General features: G+C 38.9%; 1 protein-coding gene across 13 annotated transcripts in view, besides 1 other annotated feature; it reads right to left on the bottom strand.

Annotated features, from left to right (window-relative positions):
- AP2B1 (adaptor related protein complex 2 subunit beta 1) overlaps nt 1-16,862 on the bottom strand; it is a 139,092-nt gene that overhangs the window by 45,322 nt on the left and 76,908 nt on the right. For 7 of the 13 annotated variants that reach the window (XM_011524450.3, XM_005257938.4, XM_011524449.4 and 4 more), the window contains 3 exons: nt 10,194-10,235; nt 9,192-9,338; nt 6,771-6,916 (listed from right to left, as the gene is read on the bottom strand). In XM_011524450.3, the coding sequence (XP_011522752.1) occupies nt 6,771-6,916; nt 9,192-9,338; nt 10,194-10,235 (335 nt within the window). The remainder of the gene's footprint in view (nt 1-6,770; nt 6,917-9,191; nt 9,339-10,193; nt 10,236-16,862) is intronic. The other 6 variants (XM_047435509.1, XM_047435510.1, XM_047435508.1 and 3 more) reach the window with 1 other exon arrangement.
- Nucleotides 15,175-15,375: a silencer, noted in NCBI's record as "peak2820 fragment used in MPRA reporter construct". NCBI's record gives its function as "represses an SCP1 promoter by STARR-seq MPRAs in K562 erythroleukemia cells {active_cell/tissue: K562}" and the evidence as "EXISTENCE:reporter gene assay evidence [ECO:0000049][PMID:32103011]".

Below are 16,862 nucleotides of genomic sequence, written 5' to 3'. Positions count from 1 at the left end.
GGAAACTCAGTCTGAATCTGAAGTTAAATAGAAAACAAATACATATGTGGGAGGACAGATGGTCTGAGAAGCATAAGGATAAAATTTTATAGGCTGGGGCTGGAAACAGTGGCTCACAATTGTAGTCTCAGCACTTTGGGAGGCTGCAGCGGGCGGATCACTTAAGGCCAGGAGTTCGAGACCAGGCTGGCCAACATGGTGAAACAACATTTCTACTAAAAATACAACAAAAATTAGCCAGGTAACAGGCACCTGTAATCCTAGCTACTCAGGAGGCTGAAGCAGGAGAATTGTTTGAACCCGGGAGGCGGAAGTTGCAGTGAGCCAAGATTGTGCCACTGCACTCCAGGCTGGGCGACAGAGCAAGACTGTCTGAAAAAAAAAAAAAAAACAAAAAAAAAAAAACCAAAACCATAGACTGGGCATGGTGGCTCATGCCTGTAATCCCAACACTTTGGGAGACCCAGGCCAGGCGAGTGGATCACTTGAGCCCAGCAGTTCAAGACCAGCTTGGGCAACATAGAGAAACCCTGTCTCTGGAAAAAAATTACAAATATTGGCCAGTGTGGTGGTGTGTTCCTGTGGTCCCTGTTACTCAGGAGGCTGAGGTGGTAAGATCACTTGAGTCCAGGAGGTTGAGAGCCCAGGAGGTTGAGGCTGCAGTGAGCCTCAACTGCACCATGCCTGGGCAAAAGAGCAAGACCCTGTTTCGGGTGGAAAAAAAAGAAGAAAACAAAATTTTATAAAGATGAAGCAGAAAGAAAAAATTGGCCTAGAAGATAACAAACAAAATGATACAAATTTATATTGAATTTATATTCTAAATAGCCACATGATGGAAGATGGGACTACGACGTTTATAAAATTAACTAAAGAGTTTATACAGGCTGGTGCGGTGGCTCACGCCTGTAATCCCAGCACTTTGGGAGGCCGAGGCTGGTGGATCACCTGAGGTCAGGAGTTTGAGACCAGCCTGGCCAATACGGTGAAACCCCATCTCTACCAAAAATTACAAAAAAAAATTAGTCGGGCGTGGTCGTGGGCGTCTGTAATTCCCAGCTACTTGGAACCCGGGAGGCGGAGGTTGCAGTGAGCCAAGATCATGCCAATGCACTGCAGCCTGGGCAACAAGAGCGAAACTCTGTCTCAAAAAAAAAAAAAAAAGAGTTTACACACATACTCTTCCAAGAGTTAGAGTGGCTAAAGAAATATTTTCCTTTTCCTAGATAAACTACATCTTAAGACTACCAAATTGTAATAATGAAATGATCTTGAGAATTCACATCACTCATTTAGGCATAATAGTTATAAGGCAAAAAAAATTTTACTCTTTTGATTTTGCTCTCACAGTCATCAAAACTCTGTCATTAAGTCAATATTGGGAAACATGGCAGCAGCATGGTTCCAAATCTTCCAAGTGCTCATTTAAGAAATGAAATAGAGGAAACAAACAAGGGGGAAAAAGTCCCTATAAAGCTGTAATTTCACCTTCTCCAAAACTACTGTCAAAGAAAGTCCACAGAACTGGTGAGATGCTCTGGTGATACAGTAGGCAGGCACAAGGAGTTCAGAGGAAACCAGTAGTAGTAGGTCTTAGAGACTGACCACAAATATTCATTCTCAGAAGACAGCCCCATTCCCAGAGTAGACCAAGATCAAACAGGAGCAGCATATGAATAAGGCTGGAAAAAAAAAAAAAAGGTAGCAAGTCCCTTTCTACCAAGGGGGCCCTGGAGATGAAAGAGCTCAAAAAGCACCACCTTCTAAAGAGAAAACAAACACCTTGGAAGACAGGGCTTCCTTGAAAGACAGGGCTTGAAGGCAAAGATCAGCCCTCTAGAATCAAGTTAGATTCAGAGAGGCTAAGAAGCTGTGGCTACACCAGAGCAAAGAAGGAAACGTTCTTGAGGAGCAAAGTCTAAAAAACTACCCGCCTAGCTTCCTTTTCTATAGAAGTCTACTAATAGCTAGTCCTGCAAATTCCAACTCATTCAAATATAAGTATCATAATGGTAAAAAACACAGCAACTGTTCAAAGCCCTATTATAAAAAAGTGGAAAGACAGCAGTACAACTTCCTTAATGACAAACAAAACATACTTGAAAAAACAAAACAAACAAACAAACAAACAACAATGCTAGCTACCAAGGAAGACCACACAACAGTAAAAGAAAACATCTGGGGAAGGGATGACCAGATAATGTGAGGTGAGGGCAAGACAACAGGAAAAGGTAAAGGGAGCCAATCTAACTCAGGAAAGAAATAATAAAAAAAAGTAAATCATATCAGAAATGAAGAGTAAATATATCATGAACATAGATGTAAAAAAGTTTCTGCCAATGAACTCCATCAATACACAAAAAAAGACAACACATCCTAAACAAGTAGGATTTATCCCAGGAATGTAAGGTTGGTTTAACATTTGAAAAGTCAACTGATGTAATCCATCATATTAATGGACTAAAAAAGTTCACATAATCATTTTAGTAAATGCAGAAGAGGCATCTGGCAAAATTTAATACCCATTCATAATAAAACTCAGAAAACCAGGAACAGAATGAAACTTCCTCAAGCTCCACGAAAAACCTATGGCTAACGTCACACTTAATGATGAAAGACTGAATGCTTCTCCCATGAATTAGAACACTTTTCTTACCACTCCTATCCAACATTTACTGGAGGTCCTGTTAGTACAATCAGACAAGAAGAAAAAATAAAAGGCATAAGATTGAATAGGAAAAGATAAAACTGTCTCTGTTCATAAATGACATGATTTATTTATGTAGGAAACTAGAAGGAATTTACAAAAAGGCCACTAGAAAGAAAAAGTAAGTTTAACAAAGTTGAAGGAAACAAGTTCAATATATAAAAATCAATTATATTTCTATATACTAGCAATAATAAAAAATTAAAATTAAAAATACTATTTACTGCTGGGCCCAGTGACTCACACCTGTAATCCCAGCACTTTGGGAGGCCAAGGGCAGGCAGATCACCTGAGGTCAGGAGTTCAAGATTAGCCTGGCCAACATGGTGAAACCCTGCCTCTACTAAATACACAAAAATTAGCTGGGCATGGTGGCGGGTGCCTCTAATCCCAGCTACTCAGGAGGCTGAGGATGGAGAACTGCTTGAACCCAGGAGACGGAGGTTACAGTGGGCAGAGATGACACCATTGCATTCCAGCCTGGGTGACAAGCGAAAAACTCTGTCTCAAAAAAAAAAAAAAAACTATTTACTATAACATCAAAAATTTGAAATACTTAAATCTGACAAAAGGTAAGATTTGTGCATAAAAAAATTATAAAACATTGCAAAAAGAAATTAAAGACCTAAACAGAGAGATATACTATGCTAATGGATTAGAAGACTCAATATTGTTTAGATGTCAATTCTCCCTCAAATTGATCTACTTATTCACTGCAATTCCAATAAAAATCTCAGCATTTTTTTTGTAGAAACTGACAAGCTGATTCTAAAATTTACAGGGAAATGTAAAAGACCAAGAATAGCCAAAACAAGCTTTGAAAAGAAAAAAAGTTGCAGGACTTAGGCCATCTGATTTCAAGACCTATTACGGAAAAAGTTTTTACATTGACTCTTAATTTACAACATATTTAAAAACGATCTCAAAATGAATTATAAAACTAAATGTAGGAACAAAAACTATAAGGCTTATATTTAAAAACATGCCAAAAAAATCTTTGTAACCATGGGGTTAAGCAAAGATTTCTTAGAACACAAAAAGCCTAAGTCATAAGAAGAAAAAAAACTGATGAACCTGACTTTATTGAAAACTTTCGACTGGGTGCAGTGGCTCATGCCTGTATTTCCCATACCTTGGTAGGCCAAGGCAGGATGACTACTTGAGCCCAGGACATTGAGACCAACTGGAGCAACAGAGTGGGACCCCATCTCTACAACAAATAAAAAAATTAGCTGGGTGTGGTGGTACACAGGTGTAGTCCCAGCTACTCAGGAGGCTGAGGTGGGAGAATCACTTAAGCCCAGGAATTTGAGGCAATAGTAGGCCTTGATTGTGCCACTGCACTCCAGCCTGGGTGACAGAGCAAGCCTTTGTTTCAAACAAAAAAACAAACAAAAACACCCTTTTGGTTTTTTTTGAAAACATTATTAAGAAAAGGCAAGCCATGGACTGGGAAAAAATATTTGCAATAAAGGATTTGTATCCAGAATATACAAAGAACTTTAACAACTCCATAATAAGACGATCCTCTCTCTCCCCCCAAAAACAACAAAAGGCAAAGATTTGAGCTGATACTTAAGTGAAAGATATATATGACCAATATGCTTATTTTAAAAAATGCTTAAAATTAGTAGTCATTAGGGAAATGCAAATTAAAATGAGACACTACTACACAGCGACAAGAATGGCTAAAATTGGTGAGGATGTGGAATATCTGGAATTCTCAAGCTTACCATATAACCTAGCAATAACATTCCTAGTTATTTACCAAGGAAAATCAAAAACATATGTCCAACCAAAGATGTATACACAAATGTTCATGGCAACTTTATCATAAAGATGAAACTGAAAACAACCAAACTCCCCCAACTTGTGAGCACGTCAACAAACTGTATATTCATCAATGGAGTATTACTTAACAACAAAAGGGAAATCAACTGCTGATATACACATTTCAAAAGCATTATGCTAATAGAAAGAAACCAGATACAAGATTCCATATTATGTAATTTCATTTATAAAAAATTATAGAAAAGGTACAATTATAGTGACAAAAAGACTGACTTACAAAGAACAAGGAAACAGACATCATAGTAAACATGGTAAGAAACATAGAGAATAAAATGAGAAAAAGAAAAATAAATAACTAAAAGAGAAACAGGATTTGCAATCACCACCAATTATGAAGGCTTTCTGCCAGAATATGAGCCTAAATCTGATTAAATCTATAATCTGCCTCCAATTTACAGGTAGAATCAGCAAGATTGAGACTGTGGGAAACTCCACACTAAAAGACTTAATTTCTTCTACAGATAAATTTTAAGGAACAAAACAGAGAAGGAGGAGGAGATAAATTTTAAGGAACAAAACAGAGGAGGAGGAGGAACCTATAGATTTAAAGGGACTTAAGGCACTTATCATCCAATTGCAATGTATGGGACCTTATTGGGACCCTGTTCAGACAAAGTAAACAGTACAAAAACATTAGACAACTGTGAAAATCTGACACTAATTGGTTATTTGCTGATATAAAAGAATTTGATGATTTTTTTTAACGATTAGAGAGAAAAACAGTATATAAAAGATAAACAAAGAGTCAATAAATGAATAATTGAAAACCCCAAAGAAGAAAAACAAAAACAAAACAATGGAACAGAACAAAAGAGGTTGCAGTGAGCCGCCGAGATTGTGCTACTGCACTCCAGCCTGGGCAACAGAGCAAGACTCCATCCCCCCACAAAAAAAAAAAAAGGAAAAAAAAAAAGGCTAGAGATGAATGCAGACTCTGCATCTGCAGATTTCCTTTATTACAACAGAATTCCACCAATAGCCTTGGCCTATTTATTTATTTTCCCAACAGCCCTGGCCTTTAACAGGGCCAGCTCCTCAAAAATGGCTGGAAACATTGGTAGTCTTGACAGAAAGAAACACAGACTTTCTAGATAGTTAAATGATTTTTAACATGCCAAGCTCTCAAATCCAGAGTACAAAAGTGTTTCCAAATGATGAGAAATAAATCAGACAGTCACTTATGCAAATTGTCATTGACAAATTTTATGAAATCTGCTTTAAGGGTCCAATTACTACTTTTTATATGCAGGGCTAAATATCCTGTATTTACAAATGAATGGACATGCCATTAAGGTCTAACAGCCATTTTCCTGAACCATAAAACTGAATAAAACCCACTGATGTTTCAAAAAGAATAAGACATTAACATTTTACTTCTTCATGCTCTCTTCCTTATTAAGGCAGAGAATTCATTGCTAAAAGGAGGTTGTCAAGGTTTATGTGATTATTTGTTCAGCATATATACTTCCATATTTCTTATACCAACCAAATATGCTAATTTCCCCCACCAAAATGTGAACTTTCAGTCAGGAGCTTTGTTTGGTTCACTACTCTAGCCCCAGTACCTAGAAATGTCTGGCTCATGCTAATGTTAAACAATGATTTGTTGAATGAATAAATGGATTTCAGTTAAAAATTTATCAAAAACGTTCTAATCCTAGAATCCAAGATAGTAAATAAGTTCTGGTTTCTTCATCGCATTTGGATGAGTTTCCCAACAAACTCCCTAGTGCCTCCAGAGTTGAAGCTGATAACTGAAAAGGCTTGCAAGAGCCAGGGCTCACTCTACATACAGCATCTGCCAATGTGTGAGGTTTGGTTTTCTTTTTGAGATGGAGTTTCACTCTGTCGCCCAGACTGGAGTGCATTGGCGTAATCTCGGCTCACTGCAACCTTGGCCTCCCAGGTTCAAGGGATTTGCCTGCTTCAGCCTCCTGAGTAGCTGGGATTACAGGTACCTGCCACCATGCTCAGCTCATTTTTGTATTTTCAGTAGAGACGGGGTTTCACCATGTTGGCCAGACTGGTCTTTTGAACCCCTGACCTCAGGTAATCAGCCCGTCTCGGCCTCCCAAATGCTGGGATTATAGGCATGAGCCACTGTACCTGGCCCAATATGTGAGTTTTTAACCAGTGCTAAATGGAATGTTCTCTTGTTGGTTCTAAGGCAAACTGTTGTCTCAACATCAAGCTAGGGACCCAGATTGCTTACCTATTTTTGTTAAACTGGATTGCAAAATCTGTCATGTGCTGCAGAGCTTTATTGGTGAAGTTCATTTCCATATAGATGTGCCCTTGGCGGTGAGTAAATGTTCCGGAAATCTCCAAGCCTTTAGCCTTTACTGCAGGTAGCCAGACCTGAAACACAGTATAAAGCTCAATAGAATCAGACAAGATTTATCTTGATGCTATGCATTTTTTAACAAATAAAAAACAAATTAAGATTAACAATTAAGTGAACAAATTCACTTCCTTAGGCAATTATAGTAATTTTTATACTATAAATATCAAGCCAGTGCAAAAGACTCCGGATAGAGTCTTATTTTCTGAATTTTGAGATCGTTCTCAATTATTTAAGAACCAAATAATAATAATTTTAAAAAACCAGTCTTTAAACGACCCTGGCTTCTGCTCTACCTTCTGTTCAGCTTGGTTATTTTACTACTTTTAAGTACTGCTACCAAGAGGAAAAGAAAAATTCCAATGAGCATAATGTGTTTTTCTGTTAGTTTTGGTAAAATGGTTTAAAGGGAAGAAACTGCATCTACTAATGAAAACAGCATGGCTGTAATCTTTGAAGATTTTTTTTCATCATTTCCAACCAAAGCCATTATTGGTAATTCCCTTAAAGGCATCGACTATGTCTTATATACGTTTTTAACTCTTGCTATAGTTTGTGGTAAATAGTAAATACTCAGATATTGCTCATATAATCTGAATGCCTATTCTTTTTATCTACCTAAATAATTCATAACACGCCCCTTGGTCCTGGAACCTGTGGTATACCTGGCCTATACTATTAAAAAAATAAAGATAAAAAAATTTAAGGCCAGGCGTGGTGGCTCACGCCTGCAATCCCAGCACTTTGGGAGGCTGAGGAGGGCAGATCACGAGATCAGGAGATGGAGACCATCCTGGCTAACATAGTGAAACCCCGCCTCTACTAAAAATACAAAAAGAAATTAGCTAGGAGTGGTGGCGGGCGCCTGTAGTCCCAGCTACTGGGGAGGCTGAGGCAGAGCTTGCAGTGAGCCAAGATCACGCCACTGCACTCCAGCCTGGGCGACAGAGTGAGACTCCGTCTAAAAAAAAATAAAATAAAAAAATCAGGAGTCATGAGCTGTTCTGACCACCTAAGACAGAATACCAAAGGATCTGTGGGTGGTGAATAATCATGATAATGTACTCAGCCATACTAAAAGAGTGGCAGGTGGTGGGGAGGACCAGGGAATAACCTAAATGTTCATCAACAGAGGAGTGATTAAATAAATTATGGTGTATCAATTCAGTAGATATACGGATTCAAAAGAATATGGTAGAGAAAAACCAAGGTGCAAAATAGTATATCCCACTGACACGGAATGTTCAAAGGATACAAATATACAGCTATGGGCATGATCTTTTTCTTTTGAAAGGACACACAAGAAAGTTAACAGTGGCTATACATGGGAAATGGGGGCAGGGGGAGACAATTTTCCTTCTTACATTTTTACATTATTTACGTTGGTCATTTGTATACAATACTTTTATGTTAGTAAATGAGTGCATTAGATAACTAATAATTAAAAGTCTGAAGATAATATCCCATATAGTAAACCTTACAACAAAGCTACCGAGTTGTGCCAAAACACTATGGCTCAATTTTGAATATCTTCGGTTTTGCTATGTACTGTAATAACTATACACACTCAGTTATCACAGTTACAACTCCTGGAATGGACAACTGGTCTACATCTCTATAGCAGGGATCCCCCATAAGGAGTCAGATTAGAAAGCAGAGAATTCAGCCAAATTGGTCCTCAGAAAGGTAAGACTGTATGAAGCCTGGCCTAGCCTGGATGGTGCTTTTCCCAAGGGCTTAAATGAGCTTCATTAACCGGGAGTTTCCCCTCTTGAACTTCAATGTGAGTGACATCAAGTAAGGTTAAGACAAGACAAGAAGAGCCCCAGTGACACAAACCTAAATTGGAACTCTAAAAAGGTACACTAAAATCCATGAAAACCACATCTGAGCAGTGGCATTCTAGAATCCATACGTAATACCAATGGGGAAAGAGGAATAAGAGAAATGACTTCTCTGCATTTTTTTCTCCTGCTGCTGCACTACATACCACTAGATTTTCACTAGATTGACTTCAATGTTGACAAACTAGACAATATTTCTAAACATGAGAACAAAACTCAAATAATTAATATGTCAAATTTTAAGTCTAATTATAAAAATGTTTAACAAGGATGCTAATGGTGCTTCCTACTGCTAAGTTTGAAGCCACCTTTCATCTTCCTCTAAGTCCTCCAGAACAAGGGCCCAAACCTTTGATTTATTACCAGTAGAAGTAACACAAATGTTGAAAGTGAAACAGTTTGGGTCCTGTCCATTAAGAAAGTATTGCTATGTTAACTCTTTACTTACAGCCTTAGGAGCCACATATCCACCAGGTGCCATGCCTATCCCTGTGGAGAGTTCAAACAGGTCATTCAGTCCACTGCTGACCACAGCAGGTGTAGGTGAAGGAGCAAAGGTTGCAGGCACCGATGATGGGATGAAGGATTGTCCCACCTGCAGGAGAAAAAAAAAAGGGAGAGGGGAGATTGGGAAGAACAGATTAACAGTCCTTAAAATATTGCTATATATCTTAGTAGTTTTGATAAATCAATAAGAAAACACCATAATTACAATATTCTTAGGAGTCAAATTAGTATATTCTTCATCTTTTTAATCATGACAGTTATTTTTTCGTCATTGATAAGAACACACATTCTTTAGAAGCTTTATCAAGAGAGTACTCAGTAGGATACAGGAACACAGTGATCCAAGATTTTGTATTTGTTTCCAATTTTAGCTTCCATGATTCTGTGCAAAAGGCCTACGGGTACCCTAAGAAAGGAGTTTGTTTTTATAGAAAGAGGGAGAAGTATCCAACTTAAACAGCAGTTCCATTTCCACCTGGGTTCAGCAAAGTCTTATTTCCTTTCCCATTTAGGCATAAATACCTAGTAGGAAGCTCTCCTCAGGGAGATGGACATTCACACCCCTGAAACTAACTCATTTACGAGGAGAGTCTCACTCTGAGTCCAGCTGACCCTCTCAAGTTCTTTCTAGGTGACACCAGGGAATAAGCATTCTCCAGTCAAGATGGAAGGGTCCATTTCCTTTAGCTCTTTAATATCAGAAAGACAAAGATCTCTATAGGCACTGGAACATTAAACCTTAAAGATGTCTCTACACCATGTGGTGCATGACCCCAACAATTCCAAGTAACCCTATACTACTTTCTACTACCCATATACTGTTATAGAGGTTTTGGTGTGCAGTGCTAGACAGCAGCAGTGGCTGGTCTGATAATGTGTACATAGGAAAGGCATCAAACAGGGGGCAGTGCTTCTCATGGTGAAAAAAACAGATGGCACTTACTGCCGGACTTCCTCCAATGCCCCCGCCAAGGTCACTGCCAAGCTGAAAGAGAGAAAGGAGAGAGAGGAGAGAGAGGTAGAGTTCATTTAGCTAAATACTAGATGCCCATATAGAATCTGTAAATTGCTCTACCAAGTTGCTGGAAATACATGCCATTCAACTTGTCTCCCAAAGCCTAAAAAAATTCTAGATTACAAAGAAATATGTACTAGGGGAACTAAGTGGTGGTAGTGATGGTGTATCAGTTTGGAGAAAACTTGTAAAGAAGACGGAGCTGGGACATCTCAGGGATGTTTCAGATCCAATCTTTGCACTGGGGTACACAGGCACAAACCCAAACAAGATTTAAAGAGTTTGCATATTCTAAGACGCTCTATCCCCAAGCGGCAATATTTCGAATATGCTTTATTTTTTCTTTAAAAGGAAACTTATAGTGGGGGGCGGACGGAAAGGGTGGGGAGGTGTTGGAAAAGGAAAAGCCAAAAAACAAAACAATTAATGTGTTTTAATTTACAAAACCTGCTGCCCCACTGAAAAAGTAAGAGCCAAACTAGTATTGAGCTGCAACTTCAAGCTGCAAAAATTATAGGTGGAACAAAAGTGATTTTTAGAGTTTGGAATGTTCCTAAAAAAGAAAATATCTGAACTATCTAAGGAGGAAGTGGGGAAGCATGCAGTGCTTCAAATCTCTTTCACAGTCAATTCTACTAAGGAGAAATGTGGATTTATTTGGAGATCATTTAAAAAGGATGTTACGCATTAGAGAATCAGACTAACTGAATTACCTAGCTGACAAGAAAATAACTCCACATGGTCTTAGTCTTGCTTTTTTTCTCAGGATTCTGATAGATATAATTCACTCTGAAGTCGGTCTTCCTTGACAAAAACATTAAAGAACTCAAGCTGAAAATAGGTGGCATATAGGCAATGTAAAACACACATAAACACAACTAATGGAGCTGTTTAAAAAGCAAAATCTACTTTTTGCTACAGTTCCACAGTTGTTTCTTCCCTAGTTCTTACTGTGCATCTAAAACACTTCCTTGAATCATCAAATGCCTTGTCTGTTCTAAGCACATTCTCCTTTATAGTCATTTAGTGGTAGAAAGTTGCAGGTCGTTGAGCTGTAAAAATTATTTTGCATCTTTAAGATTGGGGAAAGAGGATTTATCTTCTCAATGAACAGAGAGTAGTACATAAAATGGCATTCTCAAAAATCTAAAAATTAATCTTAAATATTGAAAAATAGTGACGACTACAACAAAGTTCTGTTTAAACCATGAAAGAAAATAACCCTGGTAGGTGCTTCATAACTGGCATTAGCAAGCATGCTCTGTTGTAAACTATAAGCATTCCAAACCAGAGCTAACATTTCCAGAATCTGATTCCTGAAGACTACTTAATGGTTGCACAGGGGATGAAAATCACATACTTAAATAAATAAAAAGATCATCCTTGGCTGGGCGTGGTGGCTCATGCCTGTAATCCCAGCACTTTGGGAGGCCAAGGTGAGCGGATCATGAGGTCAGGAGTTTGAGACCACCCTGGCCAACATGGTGAAATCCTGTCTCTACTAAAAATACAAAAATTAGCAGGCTGTGGTGGCAGGCGCCTGTAATCCCAGCTACTCGGGAGACTGAGGCAGGAGCATCCCTTGAACCCAAGAGACGGAGGTTGCGGTGAGCTGAGATCATGCCATTGCACTTCATCCTCGGCAACAAGAGCAAGACTCCATCTCGGAAAAAAAAAAAAAAAAGGCATCCCCAAACCAAGAATTTGAGTAACTAGAAAAGTGTGAAGGGAATAGAAAAGATACTACACATCTGCTTTCTCCCTAGTTCTATCATAGCACACATCTGCAGCATGACGTCTGAAATTCCTTTTATTCAAACAAACATTTACATAACATTTACTGGATGCAAGGCATTACAAGGGATATAAAGATGCCTGGCAATGAGGGGACTACATAGATAAGAATGAAGCTTTGCAAACTAGCTGGAGAAATAAAACACAAATGCAAAACCATACAGAATATACTAAAGCAAAAAAGCGAAGTTCTGAAGGGAAGAACCTCCCTCTGGCTGAAAGAATGAAGAGAAACTTCAAAAAGGTGGTAGGGTGGAATTATAAAAAGCAAAAATGGGGGAAGGCCATTTCTCAAATAGCATGAACAAAGGTGAAGAAAGCATGGAAGAATGAAAAGGCCAGTTAGACTGGAACACAGGGTTGATATGTGTTTTAAAAAAATACTCATACAAAATAAGTTTGCAAAGGCTGTCTTTTAATTTTTTAATTTCCCCTTCATAAAAACCTGGAGGTTTCTTAGACTAAGCTTTCTAAGAATACTAATAACTATGTCAATTATGTTTCAGTAGTATGGTTTCAACCTTGGATACACAATGGAATCAACCATCTGTGTGTGGGGGTTGCAGAGAGTAGCGCTTTAAAAAGTACTCGCCCCCAGAGATGGTAATTTAATTGTTCTGGGGTGTAGCCTGGGCATCAGAATTTTGAAAAGCTTCCCCAGTTGATTCTAATGTACAGCCAAGGTTGAAAACACTGCCGTTAGAGAATCAGTTATTTAGAGTCAGACAAGACTTCATCTGCTCAGAAATGACTTTGGAACTTGTGAATAAAAAGGAAGTCAGGATTTGAGCAGAGAGGCCGGGCGTGGTGGCTCACACCTGTAATCCCAGCACTTTGGGAAGCCGAGGCCGGTTGATCACCTGAGGTCAGGAGTTCAAGACCAGCCTGACCAATATGGTGAAACCCGTCTCTACTAAAAATACAAAAATTAGCTGGGCCTGGTGACGGGAACCTGTAGTCCCAGCTACTCAGAAGGCTGATACAGGAGAATTGCTTAAACCTGGGAGGCAGAGGTTGCAGTGAGCCGAGATCATGCCATTGCACTACAGCCTGGGCAACAGACCAAGACTCCGTCTCAAAAAAAAAAAAAAAAAAAAAATTTGAGCAGCGAGGAAAACCCATGGAAAGGATCCTACGAAAAATGTTTCATTTGTCCTGATACTCTGAGGTGGTTTTCGACTTTCTGATGGGCTTACCCCCTCTCACCGCAACTTATTCTCCCCTCTTCTGGCTAGGCTTATAATCCAAGATTCAAAGAGATAGAATTCTTTATGAACCTGCTTGGCACAGAACAGCAAGAAAGAAAAACACATTGGAAAGGAAACAGCAGTTTTGCTAAATTCAATAAAAGGCATTGAGAAAAGAGATTCATGGGTAGTGTTTAGACCAAAGGAAAGAAAGCACATTCATAGCCCTTATTTTCTTAGATTTCATTCTTTTTATCGTTGAATGATATATGAATATTATCTTAGCTGGAAAGGATCTGAAAGTACTGTCCCCCAGTGCTTGTCAATTTTATTCAAAATCATGAAGAACTGAAAAGCAATCTTGACATTCCTCTGTTTATGTTCAGTATATCAGATACAACTCAGCTAGAAACATGAACTCTGATCTGACACAAAGACAGGGTCCAAAAGATATCAGAGACACAGCCAGGGATACAAAGGTTCACCTAATTGTACTATGTTCAGAGAGCAAAGGGAAAGGACAATTTCAATACTATACATGTTTTCTAACTAGCAAGACTACAGCTTATGCGGACTATTCAGCAACTTCCCTCTTAACTGAAAAATATTCTAATGGAGATTATCCTACTCTCTGAAACCATGGCAAGGTGACAGCATGATGATGGGTGTGAGTGACTAATAGGGAGATGTCAGCAGGAATGGAAGCGAATTACCCAGTGAGTGGCCTCTCCTATCTACAAGTGATAAACAGGAGGAAGGAGATACTCATCAAGAAAAAAGAAAGCTAGAAAGTGAACAACTACACAAGAAAGTTGTTGTATATCAGCCTGAACTAGACAGTAGCTATTTCAGTTCAGTTGGACACTATTTGTTTAAAGAAAAAAATTTACTTCATTGTTCAGGCTGGGCTCTAACTTCCTGGGCTCAAGCGATTCTCCCACCTCAGCCTCATGAAGTGCTGGGATTACAGGTATGAATCATTGCACCCAGCCTGAGATTATTGGGATTCAGGTTCATCTGTCTGGACATACTCTAAGCCCATACTTATCAGGTAGGGTACAAAATCAATCAAACTAGAACTTGTAAAACTCAGAGTGATATCTGTTATCCAGTGAGCTGGTAGGAGACAGGAGGGAAAAGGAATAGGAGTGCAGGGTATGGCTTTGATCCTGATCTTAAATGTCTAGATACTGTGTTTTAAGTGTCTCTTGGAGGTGTCCACTCACTATTGTTCCCAGGATTGCCTTACTGAGGCTGCCATTTTCTCCATGAAGAAAATGATGTCAATTATAGGTCAACTAAATCAGATACAGAAAGAAGGGGGAAAGACGGCAACTTCAGGAAAAGAATATTTCAAATACTGAGAATTGAACAGTCTGTATTAAAAATCTGTAACTGATACCTAAATCCAAATTTTCTGCTAGTGGTGTAGTCCCCCATAATTGCTGTAGTCATTAAATGGCACTGAGAATAATACTAACATTTGTCTACTGCCAAAGAGTGGTCACTTTACCACATCTGAAGTAATGCTGAGTGGAACTTGGTTCATGTTAAACTACACAATAATGTGTCATTGCACAATAATGTTCAGTAACTGGACAGAAAACAGGGGTTTTATGGTGACTTATTGTAACTTATGGGCTAAAGGGATTTCGGCATGGTTACATGAGCTCTGTAGAGCCAGGTAGAGCCAAAAGTCTCAGAGCTGAGCCCGCATACAGGCTCAGTTCAGCTATAGATAACAAAAGGAAATGCCCCTGTCCAATGGCAATGTGCTACAACAGCAGAAATACAGAGAAGGAACTCAAGATTGAAGTTATATAGGGGAATAAATCCGCCTGACTCCAAGAAAAGAAAATTTGAAAAGGAATTTTTAAATTTTATAAAGGAATATCATCTGAGATAACCACTGAGCGGACTGGAAAAAAAATCCCACAAATTATCATAATGACTGATCTGGGTTAGCCCCTTTGACCTATGTCTGGCCAGTCCAAAGTACATCTGTTTGCTTCTAAAACTGTGGAGCTGTCTAGGTATCTGAAGACATTCTCTTAACTGCAGGTGTATATCTTAAGCTCAGACATTTCTATGCTCCTGTTTAGAGCTAGTGTCTCTTTTATTTACTGTTTTCTAGAACTTACTGAATTGAAGGGAATCTAAGGAATGCTCCAAGCCATATAGCTTACCAATAGCTCTATTATTCAGGAGTCAACAGAATGGTGCAAAAATAGTATACAATGATTCCCTTCACAAACAATAAAACTTAACTATCGTCAAAATCCTATTGGTATCAAAACCATCAGTGTGTGTCTTTCTAACAGAGTTTAAATTTTAGATGGCACACAGTATCTTGTAGGTTAAAGTATGGTTTTTAGCTACTAGGCTGCAAATTTTAATATGATCTTCAAAAAGCTATTCAAGGCTGGGCATAGTGGCTCACACTTATAATCCCAGCCCTTACGGAAGCTGAGGCAGGTGGATTGCCTGGGCCCCGGAGCTCAAGACCAGCCTGAATAACATGGCAAAACCATGACTACAAAAAATACAAAATTTAGCTGGGTGTAGTGGTGGGCGCCTGTAGACCCAGCTAGTTCGGAGGCTGCGGTGGGAGGATCACCTGGGCCCAGGGAGGTCAAGGCTGCAGTATGTCGTGATAGTGCCACTGCTTTCTAGCCTGGGTGACAGAGTGAGATCCTGTCTCAAAAAAAAAAAAAAAAAAGCTATTCCAAAAAGCATCATAAAATATAATTAATCAAATTGGTGGAAAGACTCTGTAACCATGCAAAAGCTAATAAACTGATGGCTAAGAGCAGACTTGATAAGGAATAGCATAAACGCATTGAGATCATATAAAAATCATCAGAAGACTCCATAACCTGAGGGGGGAAAAGGCTTCTATCAGTGGAAAAGTAGGGGGATGGAACGGATTACTTCCTGATGTAAGACAAAAAGTCCTTAGAATGGTCACCACAGGTCTCTTAGGTCAGACAGAACTCAATGATGAATATAGTAAAAATCAACAAGAGAACCTCTTTATTCTGTCTCACTTTGTTTCACAGCATTTGCTACTTTATCATTTGTCTCCCCTACGCGAATGTAAGCTTCCAAGGACTGTTTCGTAAGGTTGCAAGGACCATTCTATATGCCTAGTACACAGAATAGAGCCTGAATACTAGGCACTCAAATATTTACTTATTGAATGAATGAATGTTTCGTAAATATAAATTTATGGCTACTGGCAGTAATATATATATGGCTACTGGCAGTATTTCCTGGGAGACAATCTTGAAGTGAATCATTTTATTAGGGAAAATTATCACCAAAAGGACAAAAGCCTGACAAAATTGTTTACTTAGAGCACAATATCTGCATCAACATTGACAAACATATGAATAGAACCAACTGAGGAAAAAAAATGAACACCCATTAGCCATGTGTGCAGCATGTGCCTGTAGTCCCAGCTACTTGGGAGGCTGAGGTTAGAGGATCACTTGAGCTCAGGAGTTTGAGGCTGCAGTGAGCTATGATCACACCACTGTACTGTAGCTTGGGTGACAAAGCGAGACCTTGTCTCAAAAAAATAAATAAACAAACATCTCCCAGCCGGGTCAAAACT

This window comes from Homo sapiens, chromosome 17 (genome assembly GCF_000001405.40).
Source record: "Homo sapiens chromosome 17, GRCh38.p14 Primary Assembly".
Taxonomy (NCBI): Eukaryota; Metazoa; Chordata; class Mammalia; order Primates; family Hominidae; genus Homo; species Homo sapiens.
This window is presented reverse-complemented; position numbering and strand designations above follow the sequence as displayed.